This window comes from Homo sapiens, chromosome 7 (assembly GCF_000001405.40).
Source record: "Homo sapiens chromosome 7, GRCh38.p14 Primary Assembly".
Lineage (NCBI taxonomy): Eukaryota > Metazoa > Chordata > Mammalia > Primates > Hominidae > Homo > Homo sapiens.
In genome coordinates this window covers 72,300,527-72,319,839 of record NC_000007.14, presented here as the reverse complement: position 1 = coordinate 72,319,839, position 19,313 = coordinate 72,300,527, and the positions used below count along the sequence as shown (strand labels likewise).

The 19,313-nt window shown below is 44.6% G+C and overlaps 1 protein-coding gene across 15 annotated transcripts in view, besides 1 other annotated feature; it reads left to right on the top strand.

The window, feature by feature from the left end:
- Positions 1 to 19,313, top strand: part of CALN1 (calneuron 1) — a 724,789-nt gene that overhangs the window by 184,440 nt on the left and 521,036 nt on the right. The window contains exon 1 of one of the 15 annotated variants that reach the window (XM_017012679.1): positions 13,653 to 14,627. The exons of the other annotated variants lie outside the window; for them this stretch is intronic. The gene's annotated coding sequence lies outside the window, so the exon portion shown is untranslated. Of the gene's footprint in view, positions 1 to 13,652; positions 14,628 to 19,313 lie in introns of those variants that run through there. 15 annotated transcript variants of the gene reach the window in all.
- Positions 6,309 to 6,500: a silencer, noted in NCBI's record as "fragment chr7:71778325-71778516 (GRCh37/hg19 assembly coordinates)". NCBI's record gives its function as "represses an EF-1alpha promoter that drives an FKBP-Casp9 reporter gene in an ReSE screen in HepG2 liver carcinoma cells {active_cell/tissue: HepG2}" and the evidence as "EXISTENCE:reporter gene assay evidence [ECO:0000049][PMID:32094911]".

The window sequence follows — 19,313 nt, the reverse complement described above, 5'->3', positions numbered from 1 at the left end:
CATTGTCTATGTTTCCACTCTCTATGTCCGTGTGTACACATTATTTAGCTCCCAAGGCCCACCCCCCTTGCCTTCAGTGGACATCTCACCCCAGCCTCACCACAGATTTACCTCTGTTCTTTTAAAAATTAAAAAATATATGTATTTGTTAACATAGTATATTGTGCATAGCTTGGAAACCAAATAGTATTCTGACTTATTTCACTTACAGATAATGGCCTCCTGTTCCATCTATGGTGCTACTGCATTCTTTTTCATGGCTAAGTAGTATTCCATTGTGTGTATGTGTATATGATATGGTTTGGCTGTGTCCCCACCCAAATCTCATTTTGAATTCCCACATGTTGTGGGAGGGACCCAGTGGGAGGTAGTTGAATCATGGGGTAATTGAATCTTTTCCATGCTGTTCTCGTGATAGCGAATAAGTCTCATGAGGTCTCTTGGTTTTAAAAGAGGGAGTTTCCCTGCACAAGCTCTCTGTCTTTGCCTGCCACCATTCATGTAAGATGTGACTTGCTCCTCCTTGCCCTCAGCCATGATTGTGAGGCCTCCCCAGCCATGTGGAACCGTGAGTCTGTGGAACCTCTTTCTTTTGTAAATTGTCCAGTCTCGGGTATGTGTTTATCAGCAGCATGAAAACGAAATAATACAGAATATATATGTCTATACCACATTTTCTTTATCCAGTCCTCGATTGATGGACACTTAAGTTGATTCTTTATCTTTGCTGTTGCAAATAGTGCTTGGATAAACATATGGGTGCAGATCTCTTTTTGATAAGATGATTTCTTTTCCTTTGGGTAGATACCCAGTAGTGGGATTGTTGGATCAAATGTAGTTCTCTTTTCAGTTCTTTGAGAAATCTTCATATTGTTTTCCATAGAGGTTGTGCTCATTTGTATTCACACTAACAGACTAATAGTGTATAAACATTCTTTTTCTCCACATCCTTGCCAGCATCTTTTTTTTTTTCTTTTGACTTTTTAATAATAGCCATTCCTGACACATGCCTGAAATCCCAGCTACTCCAGAGGCTGAGGTGGGAGGACTGCTTGAGTCCAAGAGTTTGAGACTAGTCTGGGCAACATAGCGAGACCCTGTCTCTACAAAAAAAAAAAAAAAAAAAAAAAAAAAAGCTACACATGGTGGTGCATGCCTGTGGTTCTAGCTACTCAGGAGACTGAGGCAGGAGGATTGCTTGAACCCAGGAGTTCGAGGCTGCAGTGAGCTATGATCACACCACTGCACTCCAGCCTGGGTAATAGAGCAAGACACCATCTCAAAAGAAAAATGAAGTTTAATTGGAGGACTAACTATACTGTGGAGAGCTAGCTGTACATTTGATCCTCTGTCATCATAACTCCTGGACACCAATGTGGAAAGAATAAGCTTGTGTCTGTTTGCAAGGTGGTTCTTCTGCAAGGAATCCTGATCTTCTGTCCCTTGCTCTGTGATTTTTTTGCTCCAGAGTAAGAGGGAGATAATAGTTGAGACACTATTGGAGAGGTTGGTAGTAGGAGAAGAATGAAAGTGCGTCAAATGAGCGACTTCTTTCAGTCCCTTGAATTCTTCAGAGAATTAGCAGAAGAGAAAATAACGTAAAATCAAGGTGTTTCTTAATGGGACCCTTTAAGAATATCTGAACAGATGTTTAAGACTTGAGTATCATTTGCATTGAAACCAAATAATTCACGTTGTAGAGTCCTTTGAAATAGGGATGCCCCTTATGAATTTGAGTGAAATTTCCAGATCAGGTTATTGACAGAGGGAGGTGAGACCAGAGAAAAAGGGTCCCTGTGAGCAGCCATAGACGCTCAATCAGAAATAACACTCAGGTCCCATACTGTTTTGCAAATCACTGGGAAGTAGAATTTGATCTATTGCACAGAGTGAAATATTTTTCCTAAAGGGTGGGGTGGTTTGACATTCTTTTTTTCTGTATTTCCAGTTCATTCATGTCCTTACTTTTTCATCTGTTGCGAGGACATTCTTTGGATTCCCGGTGTTTACCAGGGCTGGAGCCTCCAATTCTGGGGCCGGTGTCATGCTGGTGTCTCTTGGAGGGAGACATTGAGTTCTTTTTCTTAGAAAGACTGGAAGTAATGTTCTCCTCAAATCCCTAACCTCAGCCCTTTCTTTCCTCTCAGCCTAGCACTCCTTTCTGAGTCTGGGGGGGACTTCCTAGGCCAGGTCTGTCCAGGTGCCACACAGGTTCTTCTCTGAGTGGCAGCAGCCCAGTTCGCCCTGTGGTCACAGTTCTGTCTCCAGCGTTTGCAGCCCAGCTGTCCCATCCTACCAGATGCTGGCTGTCATCAGTTCTCTGGTGGGGCCAGCCAGGCAGAGCAAACAGAGTTGTGGGAACAGTTGTGGTACCAAACTGCAACATTAGATCCTCTCAGCCTTCATTGTAGAAATGTTTAGGAATAAATCCTCTGTGGGATGATGGCTTGTAAGACTCACCAACCTAACAGGGATTTCCCCAGGAGAAAACTGCTGCTGTCTCATTTTTGCTTTCTCATTTGGAAACACCTTCCCTCCTTTTCTTCCTTCCTTCCCTTCCCTTCCTCCCTCCCTCCGTCCCCCCCTTCTCTCTCCTTCCTTCCTTCTCTTCTCTTTCTTTCTCTCTTCCTCCCTCCCTCCTTCCCTCCCCTCCTGCCTCCTTCCCTCCCTCCCTCCCCTGCTCCCTTCTTCCCTGCCTTCTCCTTCCCTTTCTTTCTTTTTCTCCCTCCCTCCCTTCCTCCCTCCCTCTCTCTCTCTCTTTCTGTGTCTCTCTTTCTCTCTCTCTCTTTCTCTCTCTCTCTTCCCTCCTCCTCTCCTTTCCTTCCTTCTTCCTTTCCTTTCCTTTCCTTTTTTTTTCCTTTCCTTTCCTTTCGTTTATTTGTTTATTTTTCTTTTGAGAGGCAGTCTTGCTCTGTCGCCCAGGCTGGAGTGCAGTGGTGCCATCATAGTTGACTGTAGCCTTGAACTCCTGAGCTCAAGTGATCCTCCTGCCTCAGCCTCCAGAATAGCTGGGACTACACGCATGTGACACCATGCACAGCTGATTTCTAAGTTTTTTGTAGAAACAGGGTCTCACTATGCTGTTACAGGTTGGTCTTGAACTCCTGGACTCAAGCAATCCTCTCATCCTCCCACCTCGGCCTCCCAAAATGCTGGGGTTTCAGGCATGAGACACTGCCCCCGGCCTAAAATATTCTTTTAAGTGCATAAGTAAAAGGTTTGTGGTTAAACTTTTAAAGATAAGCAAATAGAAGAAAATTAAATTCACTCGTAATCCCACTGACCCCAGAGGTAATCATTGATGACAGTTTCAGGCTAAAATGTCCCAGAGTCTGCATTTGTGTGGATGTTGTGTGTCTTTACTCTGTATTCCCCTCTTTATTATCTGAAGGGGTTGCAGCATCCATTCCTAAATGAACTGTTTTTTCACTTAATATCCTGTGAATGTTTCTGTGTTAAGTTGGTGCAAAAGTAATTGCGGTTTTTGCCGTTACTTTCAATGGCAAAAACCGTAATTACTTTTGCACCACCCTAATATTACATATTCTCCCACTTCAACATTTTCAACGAATTCATCATAGTCCACAAATGGGTGTGCCACGTGTTGTTTTCGATTTCACTAATGAAAAATATTGCACATCTGTAAGTATTTTTTTAAGGACAAATTCTTTTTTTTCTTTCTTTCTTTTTTTTTAAAGACATAATCTGTCATCTGGGCTGGAGTGCAGTGGTGCAATCTCAGCTCACTGCAAACTCCACCTCCTGGGTTCAAGCGATTCTCCTGCCTCAGCTTCCTGAGGAGCTGGAATTACAGGTGCCTGCCACCATGCCTGGCTAGTTTTTGTATTTTTTTTTAGTAGAGACGGGGTTTCACCATGTTGGCCAGGCTGGTCTTGAGCTCTTGACCTCAAGTGATCCTCCTGCCTCAGCCTCCCAAAGTGCTGGGATTACAGGCATGATTCGCGCCCGGCCGGAGAAATTCTTAGAAGAGGAATTATCAGGTCCACAATTTGCAGACTTTCTTCAAGCTTTTTCCTATTTTAATTTCCAGCAGCAATGAAAAGAGGCTTTATTTCTATCCATCCTTACCAATGTCTGCTATTGGCGTTGTTTTTTGAAATTTTTTTTTTTTTTAGAGACAGGGTCTCACTGTGTCACACAGGCTGGAATACAGTGGTATGGTCATGGCTCACTGCAGCCTCGAACTCCTGGGCTGAAGCAATCCTCCCTTCTCAGCCTCCCGAGTAGCTGGGACTACAGGCATCCACCACCACACCATCTAATTTTTTTATTTTTGTAGAGACAGGATCTTGCTGTGTTTTCCAGGCTGGTCCCGAACTCCCGGGTTCAAGTGATCTTCCCGCCTCGGCCTCTGTTTTTCAAAATTTGACAGCTAAAGTGGTTTTGTGTTGGTGTTTTAGCTTGGATTTCTGAGATTATAAGTGAGCACATACGTTTTGTTTTCATATACTTATTGGCTGCTTGATTTTTCCTTTTGTGAATTGCACATTGATGTTTTATGTCTGTTCATTGGTCACGGTTTTTTAAAAAATGTTTTTTAAAGAATTGTAGTGGAAAGAATAGTAGCCTTTATTACATGTTGCAAAATTTTCTATGTTTGCTCTTTATCCCTTTATTTCTTTAGTATTACTTTTTAACTTTGTGTTTATTATTAAAAATTATTTTTATAGTTACAGGGTCTCACTCTGTCACCTAGGCTGGGGTGCAGTGGTGCGATCATAGCTCACTGCCACCTTGAACCCCTAGCTTAAGTGATCCTCCTGCCTCAGCCTGCCAAGTAGCTGGGACCACAGGTGTGTGCCGTCATGTCCAGCTAATTAATTTTTTTTTTTTTTTTGTAGAGATGGGTCTCACTGTGTGCTGAGGCTGGTCTTGAACTCTGGCCTCAAGTGATCCTCTAGCCTTGGCCTCCCAAAGTGCTGGGTTTACAGGTGTGAGCCACTGTGCCCAGCCTATAGTTTTTTTTGTTTTTTTTTTTTTAACAAAATGTTTTATTATTTCTTTTTAAATATTTAAGTTTTGGAATCATGTTTAGAAAATTCCTCCCCATCCCTGAGATTACACAAATACTTACCTCTGCGTTCTTTTAAAAATTAAAAAATATGGCCGGGCACGGTGGCTCACGCCTGTAATCCCAGCACTTTGGGCAGACAAGGCGGGCAGATCACCGGAGGTCAGGAGTTTGAGCCTGGCCAATATGGTGAAACCCTGTCTCTACTAATACAAAAATTAGCCAGGTGTGGTGGTGGGCACTTGTATTCCAGCTACTCGGGAGGCTGAGGTAGGAGTATCACTTGAACTCGGGAGGCAGAGATTGCAGTGAGCCAAAATTGTGCCACTGCACTACAGCCTGGGTGACAGAATGAGACTCTCTCAAAAAAAAAAAATCTATGTATGTGTGTATATATATGTGTATATATGTGTATATATATGTGTATATATGTGTATATATGTATATGTATATATATGTATATATATATGTTAACATAGTGTATTGCACATAGCTTAGAAATCAAATAGTATTAAATGGCTTTTTACACAAAGTGGCTGTCCCTTGCTGCCCTGGGAAAGTGCTGGAAAGCAGGAATCAGGCGTAGGCTCAGCTGCTGGAATTCTGCCGTCAGGGAGGGGGATGGTGGCAGAGGGCCCCTTGATTCTGTGCATAGACTGGCTCCCCCTCCTTGCCCTCAGTCGACCGACACCTCACTCCAGCCCTGTGCTGGGCCTGGTGTGTCCTCTTATTCATTGCTGCCAAGGCTGGCCTGCAGGCTTCCAGGAACACAGGCATAGGGGCAATGTGCTGACTCCATGGGTGAGGGACGGGGCTCTGTCTGTCTGCCCTGTTGTCTGGCTCATTTGTGGTGTAGACCCACAATAGGCACAGAATTTGTCCACCCTGTGGTTACCATTCCCTCTTCTTTGTGCCTTCCACATCTCCTTTGAAATCTCTCCCTTCCCTTCCTCTGTTTCCTTGTAGTTTACAGGGGAGTATCTCCCTTGCCTCTCTGTTCTTTGTTCTTATTTTAGCAGTGTTTAGGTAAAGAGAGGGGAAAATGAGTTCAGTTTGCCAATTATTAGCCAGAAGTCTCATATATAGTCCCATCATTAAATTTTTTAATCCAGGCTGGGCACGGTGCCTCATGCCTGTAATCCCAGCACTTTAGGAGGCCAAGGTGGGAGGATTGCTTGAGCCAGGAGTTTGAGACCACCAGCCTGGGCAACACAGTGAGACCCCATCTCTACAAAAAGTACAAAACAATGAGCCAGGCATGGTGGTACGCACCGATAGTCCCAGCTACTCTGGAGGCTGAGTTGGGAGCTGTCGCTTGAGCCCTGGAGCCATAGGTTGCGGTGAGCTGAGATTGTATCACTCCACTTCAGCCTGGGTGACACAGTGATACTCTGTCTCAAAGAATTTTTTTTTTCTTAATACAACTAGTATTAATTTGGCTATGGTAGGATATAGGGATGTAACTTTATTGTTATTTTTTTCCAAATGTTTTTTCGATTTTCCCAATAATGCTTACTAAATAATCCATTCACTGATTTAGAAATGTCGTTTTTGTTATGTACCGAATTACCATACTCATCTGGGTTGACCTCTAAATCTTTTGTTTCTTCTCCATTCTCCCATCCATTCTTTTTCCAGTGCCACCCTGGTTTAATTTTAGTAACTTTATGATTGGCAAGGTGCAGTGGCTCATACCTGTAATCCCAGCACTTTGGGAGGCCGAGGTGGGCGGATCACCTGAGGTCAGGAGTTCGAGACCAGCCTGGCCAACATGGTGAAACCCTGTCTCTACTAAAAACACAAAAATTAGCCGGGTATGGTGGCATATGCCTGTAGTCCCAGCTACTTGGGAGGCTGAGGCAGGAGAATCATTTGAACCCGGGAGGTGGAGGTTGCAGTGAGCCGAGATTGCACCACTGTACTCCAGTCTGGGCGACAGAATGAGACTGTGTATCTCAAAAAAAAAAAATTATGATAGGGCAAATGTTCCCTTATTCTCTCTTCTATTTTAAAATTATCCATATTTTTTTCAATAGGAAAATAAGCATGATCTTTGTGGTCACTATTTTTCTAGTTGTCCCAAATCTTTCAACTTGTCATAACTGTTTGTTTTCCTTTTCAATGATGCCATTGTCCTTCTTTCTTTGACTTACTTGTCCTTTCTGAATTTTCTGAACCTGAGGCATCTTTTCCAAAGTTACATTTTGAATTTGCAAAAGAAAAAATATCTCCTAGCACGAGGATCTCTAGGTATACATGGCTCACCTGCAACCCAATTTTCTGCCCCCTCAACTGCAAAGTGGCCCAGCGCTGTCTGTCCTGGGGCACATGGCTTATAGGTATAACATGGGGTGAACAACAAAATCCAAAATATTATAGGGAAGTGACTTACTTTTTTTTTTTTTTTTTTTTTCTGAGATGAAGTCTCACTCTGTTGTCTAGGCTGGATTGCAATGGCTCACTGCAACCTCTGCCTGCTGGGTTCAAGTGATTCTCCTGCCTCAGCCTCCCGAGTAGCTGGGATTACAGATATGCACCACCACACCCTGCTAATTCTTGTATTTTTAGTAGAGACAGGGTTTCACCATGTTGGCTAGGCTGGTCTCGAACTCCTGACATCAAGTGATACTCTGGCCTCAGCCTCTCAAAGTGCTGGGATTACAGGTGTGAGCCACTGCGCCCAGCCTGGGAGTGACTTGTTGAAACCAGAATGCTTCTTGTAGTCTAGGGCAGGTGGCTTTTAGCAATGTCCAGAAATGTCAACAGTATCCTTTGGGGACATGGATCTTACTCAGCTGGAAGTGGCGCCTGTGGCAGGTTGCTTCTGCCACTGGGTCTTGGAAGCCACTGTTGTTTTCCTCTTCCTTCTTTCCCATCACTCTCCTATGCTCATTTCTTGGATCTTTCATGTTTCTTTGGATCATTCCTATTTTTCTTCAAAGTCTGAGCCTTGTTGTGGCATTCAAACCCTTCACAGATCACCTTACTTTGCTTGAAATACAGGTGATGGCCAGGCGCGGTGGTGGCTCACGCCTGTAATCTCAGCAGTTTGGGAGGCTGAGGCAGGTGGATCGCTTGAGCTCAGGAGTTCGAGACCAGCCTGGGCAACATGGCAAAACCCCATCTCTACAAAAAAAAAAAAAAAAAAAAAAAAAATCTCAGCCAGGCGTTGTGGTGGCATGTGCCTGTAGTCCCAGCTACTTGGGAGGCTGAGGTGGGAGGATTGCTCGAGCCGGGGAGGTTGAGGCTGCAGTGAGCCGAGATCAAGCCACTGGACTCTAGCCTGGGCAACAGAGTGAGACCTTGTCTTACACACACACACACAAAAAAGAAAAAAGAAATACAGTTGATCCTTCCACAATGCAAGGTTGGGGTGTTGACCCTCTGCACAGTAAAAAATTCACATAACTTTTGACTCCCCCCAAAACTTAACTACTAATAGCCTATTGTTGACTGGAAGCCTTACCAATAATGTAAACAGGTAATTAACACATATTTTGTGTATTTGATATATTATATATTGTGTTCTTACAGTAAAGTAAAATAAAATGTTATTAGTAAAAGAAAATGTTATTAAGGAAACCATATAGAAGAGAAAATCTATTTATTACTATTCGTTAAATGGAAGTAGGTCATCATAGAGGTCTTCATCCTCATCATCTTTGCGTTGAGTAGACTGAAGAGGAGGAGGAGGGGCTGGTCTTGTTCCCCAAGGGGTGGCAGAGTCGGAAGAGGTGGAGGAGGTGGGAAGGGATGCAGGAGAGAAAGGCACACTTGGCATAACTGGAAAAATTCCATGCATAAGTACACCCGTGCCTTTCAATGTCATATTGTTTAAGGATCCACCGTATATATATATTTTCTTCTTCTTTATTTTTGTTTTTTTTTTTTTTTTTTTTTAAGACGGAGTCTTGCTCTGTCGCCAGGCTGGCGACAGAGTGCAGTGGCGTGATCTCGGCTCACTGCAACCTCCACCTCCCGGGTTCAAGTGATTCTCCTGCCTCAGCCTCCTGAGTTGCTGGGATTACAGGTGCCCACCACCATGCCCGGCTAATTTTGTATTTTTTGTAGAGATAGGGTTTCATCATGTTGACCAGGCTGGTCTCGAACTCCCGGCCTCAGGTGATCCACTCATCTTGGCCTCCCAAAGTGCTGGGATTATAGGCATGAGCCACCATGCCTGGCCTGCTCTTACGTTTTGATGTAGATGTCACCAGATGCATCAAGTGTCCACCGCCACACCATGCCAGCACATGGCTGAGAGCTGGCACTACCCAAGGTATTATCTAAATGGCACTAGGGTGATGTCAATATTATAACCACAGAAGCCAAGATTCCTTTTGTTCTGCCCTCTGTTCCTTGTCTACTGATATTAGCACTGCTGCATCTAGGCCATTGCCATTGTTATTAGGTAGTATCTCGAATGCCAAGAGCTGGATGCATTATCTTCTGACCACATATCAGCCTCTGTGATAAGTATCTTCTGGATCATATCAATTAACCCTCACAATGGCTCAATGAGGTAGATACCTTACAACTCCCATTTGATCCATGGCAAAACTAAGATGGAGTAGCATTGTGCTGTCTAGGGTTTTTCAGAGCCAGGACTAGGTCAGGGGGCTTTTTGGCTTGAAAACCAGACCAATCTACTAGGCTGCCTCTCTTTGTATATCTAGAGACTTAAGGGTTGCAGAACTCCTCCTTCCTGAGCAAGTCCTTGATCAGGACGTTATAACAGTCAGCTAGTAGCCATGAGTAGTCAGAGAATGAAGACATGGAGGGCAGTGTGGGGGCATCCCTGGGGGATGCTGGCGGACCGATGTGAACAGGGTGCAGTGCTCAGGGAAGAGAATGCTGGCAGGGCCCCTTGGAGGGCATCGGAGTTTGTCCAGGCTTGCCCCTGGCCCTGGATAGCCTTGAAGCGGGAAGCGCAGGTTAAGTTTCTGATTCAAAGTCAGCAAATCTCCCTGGACCTGGTGATGAAGGAAGGTCGTTTCAGGAGAGAGTAGAGAGATGACTAAATGAGGTTGGCTTTTGGACCTCTTTGGCTTGGAGCAGAATGTGGGAAGTGGTCCAGCGCTGTCTTTCTTGGCCGGCTGTGGGACAGGAGACGACAGTGCACAGCGGGGGACCTTGCACTTGTGCTTGTTTTGCCTCTCCCTGCCCTTCCCTGCTTGCCACTTCTGATTCATCAGCTTCCCTCCCATGCCCTCCGCCAAGGGCTCTTGAAGGTGGCTTCCCTCCCTTGGTCACGCATGTTGCCGTTCCTTGAGTCCCGTGTAACCCTTGTGAGCCCCCCTCCCCTATTCTTTTCTGTAGCACCTTTGACACCTGCCAGGGCTGTGTTTCCAGGCCACAGGACCTTGCACGGGACATGTGCTCCATCAGAAGAGAGGGGTCCATTCCTGAGTTCCTTGGGACCCTTTTGAGTCCCTTCTTGGGTGCCAGTGGATTTATTTGCACACAGACTGATGTGTATGTTTCAAAGAGTGGAGGCCCTGGCTCAGAATGTGACTTCAGAAAGATGAACAGGACCGGCATGGATTTCTAGGATAAATGAATGCCTTTAGTTGTGTCTTCTCCATCTGGCTCAGGATGAGTTCTGAATAGTCTCCCTCCCGTAGAGCCTCCCTCCAGGTTCCTGGCTTAGGTGAGAAAATGAAAAAGGCAGGCTATAGAGCTTGTGCAAGCTGTTGCCTCTGGAGCTAAACTGCCTGGTCTACCACTTACTAACTCTGCAGTTTTGAACCAGTTATTTAATTGGCCTGTGCTCCATTTCCCCATCTATAAAATGGGGATAAGGTATAACTGAGACATTACTTAACATTGCCTAGAATTGCCTAGCACATAGTGAGCCCTCTAAAAATGTTTACTATTTTCCTGCATGAGTTAGTTGCATGGAATTTCATGCAAAATTTTCCTTTGGTACTTGCATACATGCCAGATGGGAATGATCCCCAGGGAAGCTTCTAGAATCATTATCACTCCATGAAAGTTCTTCACCCAAGTTTTTATTGTTCTGCCCCCACCGACCTTGAGGTTGTGTTTTGTTCCGGGAAGGAACTAAGAGGAGGGTCCCAGCTGACAGGAGAAGCAAAAAGGCAGAGACCAAAAAAAATGAACACAACCTAACCCAAGAGTGTGAGTTCATCAGAAGGACATGGGAGGATGGTAGCTCTGGGGGACTCATCATTTTATGTCATCTGCAATGTTTTCATTGCAGTTCCCAGGGGGACAGGATCCCTCATATCGTTCATTCATTCATTCATTCGTGCATTCAGCAAACATTTTCAAATATTCCTTGTATATCTGACATTGGGCTTGACACTGGGAGGGCATTGCATCCAAGCAGCTCAAGCTTTGGTGGTACTTTGTGGATTTCTTCTTTCTTTCCTTTCTTTCCTCTCTCTCTCTCTCTCTCTCTCTCTCTCTCTCCCCCCCCCACAGACAGCATCTCACTCTGTGGCCCAGGCTGGAGTGCAGTGGTGCAATCTCAGCTCACTGCAACCTCCTTCTCCCTGGTTCAAATGATCTTTGTGCCTTGGCCTCCCAAGTAGCTGAAATTACAGGTGTATACCACCATGCCTGGCTAATTTTTGTATTTTTAGTAGAGGTGAGGTTTTGCCATGTTGGCGGGGATGGCCTCAAACCCCTGACCTCAAGCAATCCACCTGCCTCGGCCCCCCAAAGTCCTGGGATTACAGGTGTGAGCCACTGCACCCAGCCCTAGTTTGTGGATTTCTGTCGTTTTGTTTATTACACATCTTGAGCAAAGAAAAGTTCTGATTTCTTGTAGCAGATTTCTGTCCATCACCGTGTCTTTGTGAAGGTTAGTGAGTGAGAGGACTCACGAAATGTCCTTCTGGTGAACTCACCCTCTTGGGTTAGGTTGTGTTCATTTTTTTTTTTTTGTCTCTGCCTTTTGCTTCTCTTGTCGTCTGGGACCCTCCTCTTGCCAGCAGATGTCCTGAGGCAACAGCCGTCTTTCAGTCATTGTCCTCTGCCCGGCTGTTGGGATGATCTTGTGTCCTGCTGGTGACATCCCTGTTGCCGGCTGCTCTCTGCAGGGCACTAGTGTCTGTGTCTGCATTGGGAAGTCTGTGACCAGCGTCACCTCCCCACGGCATCTGCACCAGAGGCTCAGCCAGGAGGTTGCTTCTAGTCCCTACTCTGCTGTCTTTGAATATGCGTAGCTCTCAGGCAGTCGCATTGCCCAGATAATATCATATCATAGCTATTCTGCAAGCTTTGCGAGGCCACAGGCTGTGACTTCTGCTCTGATACCATCCGAGGATCACAGCCCATTAGATGCGTTAAATGCCCACTGCACTGCACGAGCGACCGAGTGAATGAACTGACCTCTCTTGCGGCCAGACGGGCTTCAGCCTTCGTAGGGTGTGCCCTCAGTTTTATGGCAGAATGAGAAGAAACCTCAGGAAAAAATAATGCAATCTTTGTCCTCTGTGCTGTAGTCTTATTTCCAAACATTCTCATGCTGTCAACTCAAAAATAACATGTAAGTTTCAAATGGCTTTCCATCTGAATGATGGATTGAATGAATCTAATTTACATACTATTCATTTTATGTTAATTGGCCAAAATGAAGCCAATCTCCAGAGGTCCTGTACCTTTCTGCTTGAATCTCTTAAAAGCCTCTTCTGCTGAGATAGGGCTAATTTGAGTTTAAAAAAAATTACAAAAAGCAAAAACCAAAAACAGAAGTCTGGCTAGGGCCCCTGCCTGACTTTGTCTGTCTTCAATCATATTTGCTGTCGACCTAGTTAGTGCTGTGGACTGAACTGTGTCCCCCAACCCCAAATTCACATGTTGAGGCTCTTCCTCTCTTCCGTGTGATGCTATCTGGAGATGGGGTTTTGGGAGTGTCAACGAAGAGTCAGACTCTGTAAAATACCTGAAAAGATTTATTCTGAGCCAAATAGGAGTGACCATGGCCCGAGACAAAGCCCTCAAGAGGTCCTGAGAACCAGGTGCCCACGGTGGTCAGGGCACAGCTTAGTTTTATACATATTAGGGAGGGATGAGACATCAATCAAATACATTTAAGAAACATAATAGTTTGGTCCAGAAAGAGGGGATAACTCAAAATGGGGGCTTCTAGGCTATAGGTAAATTTAAACATTTTCTTTTTTATTTTTCTTTTCTTTTTTTTTCTTCTTTTTTTTTTTAGAGCAGGAATGAGAGTTTATTTAAAAGCTTTAGAACAGTAGGAAAAGAAAAGAAGGAAAGTACAGATTGGAAGGCCAGGTGGGCGACTGGAGAAACCAAGTACACCATAAATTTAAACATCTTCTGATTGACAATTGGTTGAGTTTGTCTAAAGACCTGGGTTCCATAGAAAGGAAATGTTTAGGTTAAGATAAAAGACTGTGGAGACCTTCTTCTGAAGGCTTATAGTGGCTGCCGTTAGAGACAGATAGATAGATGACAAATGTTTTCTATTCAGACCTTTAAAAAATTGCTAGACTCTTACTTAATCTCTTCAGGATTGGGAGGGCCTGGAAGAAAAAGATCTAGCTATGTGAATAGAGATTCTTTACAGATGTACATTTTCCCCCACAAAGGACAGCTTTGCAGGACCATTTCAAAATATGGCAAAGAAACATGTTTTGGGGTAAAATTTTTTGATTTTCTTCCTTGTCTTGTCATGTTATACCAGTGTCAGTTTGGAAAGTAAGTCATGATATACAAGGTTAGATAAAACCCATCTGATGAGTGTTTATGGTTTGTAGGGCATGACTCCCTAGACCCCTTAGATAGGAATTTGGGCAAGGTAACTTTAGTCTTCAGGAGGTAATTAAGTTTAGATGATGTCTTGAGGGTGGGTCCCTCATAATGGAATTTAGTGCCCTTATAAGTAGAGATACCAGAGAGCTTGCCCTCTCTCCCTCTTTCTGTCTCTCCCCGACCATGTGAGGACAGAGCAAGAAGGTGGCCATTTGTAAGCCAGGAAGAGAGTCCTCATCAGAACCTGACCATGTTGACCTCTTGATCTTAGACATCCAGCCTTCAGGCTATAAGAAAATTAATTTCTGTTGTTTAAGCCACCCGGTCTGTAGTCTTTTGTTACGGTAACCTGAGCAAACTAAGCTACTAAAGTCTTAAAAGTGCTGTTCTAGAGAACTCTCAACAATCAATGTTGGGTACAGTGTGCAGTTATTTCCCGTAGATCAAATAATCCCTGACCTCTCACTGTCTTGGGAGAGGCCTCAGCCAGCAGGATTCTCTCAAACTTTGCAGAAAGCTATCTAAGGCTCTCGGTTTGATACAGGTGTCTGAGCAGCTAGAAGTGTATGGTGGACTTAGCAGGACCACTTTACGTGGGGATCTTGAAGGAAGTTACATAGAAATTCATCACAATTAAATCCTTCCATATTCAACTTATTAATTAAAAGAGATCAAAACAGCCTTAAGAAGGAGCCTTAACAAGCAGTGGAACTTTTTGTGTAATTACTTTCAGAAAGAACAACTCAAAATCACCTGCCAAAAGCATTCCTGTCGGCAGGCCAGCGCCGGCATCCTTGTGAAGCTGGTGCAGGATTTCTTCCAGCAGGAGCGTTCATCTAATTACCTGAAGGTTTGCAATCCTCCGCAGTTCTCTGGGGGCCAGTCCCAATCAAAATCAAAATTGGGATGGGAGGCACATGTCTGTCCTGGCTGACACAGCCAGCTGTTAACACGGGCCCTTAAAGGGTTCCAACCCAGGCTCTCTTTGGAGGCCTGGGCTGCAGACAGCAGGTCACATGCGAGGCTGCAGGTCACTGTAGCCGTGGCCATCAGGCAGCCTTGGTCCTGTCTGAGGGCTTCCTGGGGCCTTACTCCCACGTGGAGGAAATTCCAGCCAGGCTCTTTCATTTGTAAAATCATTTTAATTTCTCTCTAGCTGTAAAAATGAAATAGACCCATGTCACTAAGTGTGGAGAGGTTAAACAACTAAATATACAACAACAGTAAGTTCATCACTCAGCAATAACTAGTATTTACATTTTGGTTTATATCCTTTGAAGAACTTTATATATCTCTATAAATATATATGTATGTGGCTAGGTAGGCCAGGTAATTATATTTATATAGTTGTGATTATGCCCTACATAGGATTTTATGGCCTGACCTAATGAAAGTAATATAAGAATAGGATAATAAAAAAACAAAATATAAGTAGATAGACGTAAAAGAGACGCTGGCAGCTATACCCCCCCCATGTCAGAGGCAAGCATTGTAAGCCATTTTTCATCTCAGTGATTCTGGTGGATGAAATCACTCCAAGTAAAGTGCTTACTTGATTTTTTTTAAAATTCATTTTAATTTTGTAGAGATGGGGCCTTCCTGTTGTTGCCCAGGCTGGCCTGGAACTCCTGGGCTCAGGCAATCCCCCCTTCCTGGCCCCCGAACACCTTGGCCTCCCAAAGTGCTGGGATTACAGGCATGAGCCACTGTGCCCAACCTTATGTGGTTTTGAGCATCCACTTGAAATGGGATCTCTCCATCCTCTCCTTTGAAAGACAGGAAGAACGTGGAGTCTTTCCCCTTTCCCATCCCAGTCTCTGCCAGTCACATTTTTATTTTTCCAATCTGAATTGAATAGCTTTATTGCTTTAGCTTATAAACTTAAGTCTTTCTTTATTAACTTGAAACCATACCTTTGGACCTCCCAGTCTGAAAGACGGTGGTTTCGGGGGAGGGCTTAGCACCTCTTCATTTCTTTCTTCTTTTTTGCAGCTTGTCTTCTGTATTACTGACTCTTAGAGTGGCAGGCATTTACATTTGTTCTCTATCTGAAATTTCCATGATTCTCCTATTTCAAATTCAAAACCAAAGATTTTGTGAATATGATTACTATGATTATGTAAATAATTACTCACTGCAGAAACAAATATGATACAAGCAATCCCATAACATTTACTTTTTATTTTCTCGAGACAGAGTCTTGCTCTGTCACCCAGATGAGAGTACAGTGGCATGATCAGAGCTCACTAAGCCTTGATCTCCTGGGCTCAAGGGATCCTCCTGCCTCGGCCTCCCAAAGTGTTGGGTTTACAGATGTGAGCCAGCACACCCCACCTAGTGCTGTAACATTTATAGGAGGAAAGGATAAATAAATTGGAAAAGAGAGTGAAGGAGGGAGGGCGAGCCCACTCTCATTGTATTTATTTGATATTTAATATTGATGCTGGATTCTCCTTCTCACTAAGCATATGCAGTTTCTTTTTTTTTTTTCTTTTTCTTTTTTTTGAGATGGAGTTTCGCTCTTGTTGCCCAGGCTGGAGTGCAATGGCGCGATCTTGGCTCACCGCAGCCTCTGCCTCCCAGGTTTAAGGGATTGTCCTGTCTCAGCCTCCCAAGTAGCTGGGATTACAGGCATGCCCCACCACGCCTGGCTTGTATTTTTAGTAGAGACAGGGTTTCTCCATGTTGGTCAGGCTGGTCTTGAACTCCCGACCTCAGATGATCTGGCCACCTGGTATGCAGTTTCTTTAATGCACTGATGCTGGAAGTTCACTTCTTCCTGTCCTCCTTGGCACTGATTTACAACACCTGCCCCCACTGTGGTCTTCTGGGCTCTCACCTCATTGTTAGAATCCATCTCATGAATTAGATCTCATTTTCTCTCATTTCTTGGACTCCTTTTGCATGTTGCTGAAATAATTCACTGAGTGATTTCTTTTTAGATGATGTCTATGAATTGTAAAATTCCTTTTCTTTTTTTTTTGAGACAGGGTCTGTCTCTGTCACCAGGTTAGAGTGCAATGGCACCATCATAGCTCACTGTATCCTTGAACTCCTGAACTCCTGGGCTCAAGGGATCCTTCTGCCTCAGTCTCTGTGGTAACTGGGACTACAGATGGATGCCACCAGGCCCGGATTCTTTTCGTTTTTTTTTTTTTTTTTTTTTTTTGAGACCCTCACTCTCTCTCCAAGCCTGGAGTGCAGTGGCGCGATCTCGGCTCACTGCAACATCCGCCGCCTCCTGGGCTCAAGCAATTCTCGTGCCTCAGTCTCCCTAGTAGCTGGGACTACAGGTGCCCACCATCACACCTGACTAATTTTTTGTATTTTTAGTAGAGACGGGGTTTCACCATGTTGGCCAGGCTGGTCATGAACTCCTGACCTCAAGTGATCCACGTGCCTTGGCCTCCCAAAGTGCTGGGATTACAGGTGTGAGCCACTGCGCTCATCCTGTTTTCGTATTTTTTGTAGAGATGGGGGCTTGGTATGCTGGCTAATCTGGAATGCCTGCACCTCCGAAAGTACTGGGATGATGGGCCTGAGCCACCACGCCCAGCCAAATTGTAAACTTTCTAAGCCTCTGTCTTGATTGGATTTTGACTGGGTGTAAATTAGTTTTTCCTGTGATGTCCAGACCACTTGCTCCACTGTTATCTCGTGTCTGATGATGCTGATGTGCAGTTTAATGTCAGCATGATCGCCATTCATTAAAACGTTGTCCGTTCCTTCCTCTAGGGCTTTAGGTGCTTTCTTTAATTCTGATGTTCTGAAATTTTATGAGGTTTGGCTCTTTGTGGGTCTTTTCATTTATCCCATATAGCAGCTGACAGGCATTTTCAGTCTCAAGCTTCATCTCATCCGCTCTGGGAATTTCTCTTGTATTATTTCCTCTCCGTGGTCTCTGTTCTCTTGTTCTGAAACGCATCTGCAGTAATTCACTGTGTATACAATTTGAATTTTCTCTCCTATTTCATCAGTTCTTTAAACTTTCTTCAATTCCTCATCTCAGACTGTTTTTTTTTTAGCAGCCTCTCAGCTCTCCCTGAAGCATTACATTAAAATTCTTCCAAGGTCTCTTCTTTTTTCCAGGATCATCCTTGCTGTGTCTGGGGTCACCTTTTCTGTCCTGCTTGTCGGTGACACTGGTTTTCTTGAAGTGTCTGGCAATCCTTGTTTGGTCATTGCCATTCCTGGCGTTTCTGAATGTGATGGGCTGTGATAAGAGGCAGGTTTTAGTAGCAGCCTTTCTCTCTGAATGAGACCAATGGCTGCAAACTCTTTTATAGCAGTGGGGCATGTTGACCAGTAGGCTTCATTGTAGGGTTCAAGACTGGGAAGGGGTGAACAGGATGCCCCATGTAAATGCCAGGAGATGAAGGCCTTACTCTGGGAGATCAACGTCAGATCTACTCCTCAGGCAGATCACTGCTTGCTTTTTTTTTTTTTTTTTTTGAGAGACAAAGTCTTTGCTCTGTCGCCCAGGCTGGAGTACAGTGGCGTGATCTCAGCACACTGCAACCTCTGCCTCCTGGGTTACAGCGATTCTCCTCTCTCAGCCTCCCGAGTAGCTGGGACTACAGGCATGCGCCACCAAGCCAGGCTAATTTTTGTATTTTTAGTAGAGACAGGGTTTCACCATGTTGGCTAGGCTGGTCTCGAACTCCTGACCTCAAGTGATACACCTGCCTCGGCCTCCCAAAGTGGTGGGATTACAGGTGTGAGCCACCCAGCCCGGCCTGCTTGCTTTTAAGAGGATCTTTTTCTAGGGGTGGGAAACCCAGCAAGCTGATCTAAGTGAAGGACTTAAATCAGTCACCCCCTGTCCACCCTGTCTCCAGTCCAGATCTTAGCAACTGCTGACTGGGACTATACTCTGTGTGCTCTCAGCGCTTCTCCCTCCTCCACTTTCTTTCCAGTTTGCATGCTTTCAGCCTGGCTTCTGTCTGCCCAATTACGTCTGTAAAGATGGATGAATTCATCCTGCCCTCCAGGGATCTGCCAAAGTTTTTGGGCCAATGATGGTCTTTCCCTGATATTCTGTGCTTATTTACATTTTTATTTATTTATTTGAGACAGAGTCTCACTCTGTCACCCAGGCTGGAGTGTGGTGGCATGATCTCAGCTCACTGCAACCTCCAACCTCGGGGGTTCAAACGATTCTCCTGCCTCAGCCTCCAGAGTAGCTGGGATTACAGGCACGTGCCACCATGCCCAGCTAATTTTTGTATTTTTGGTAGAGACGGGGTTTCGCCATGTTGGCCAGGCTGGTCTCGAACTCCTGACCTCAAGTGATCTGCCCCCTCTTGGCCTCCCAAAGTGCTGGGATTACAGGCATTAGCCACCGTGACTGGCTATAAATATAATTAGACAAATACAGTTTATACTTAAATACATACATCTGTGTTTATGCACTTATTCTATTTTGTTCCCTATATCATGATTGTAATAGAATTTTAGGAGAGAAGTGTGTTCGTTTTTCTCAGTTGAAACACGTATTAGAGTTAGTGGTACATTATAAAGATGTTTGGATGTCATT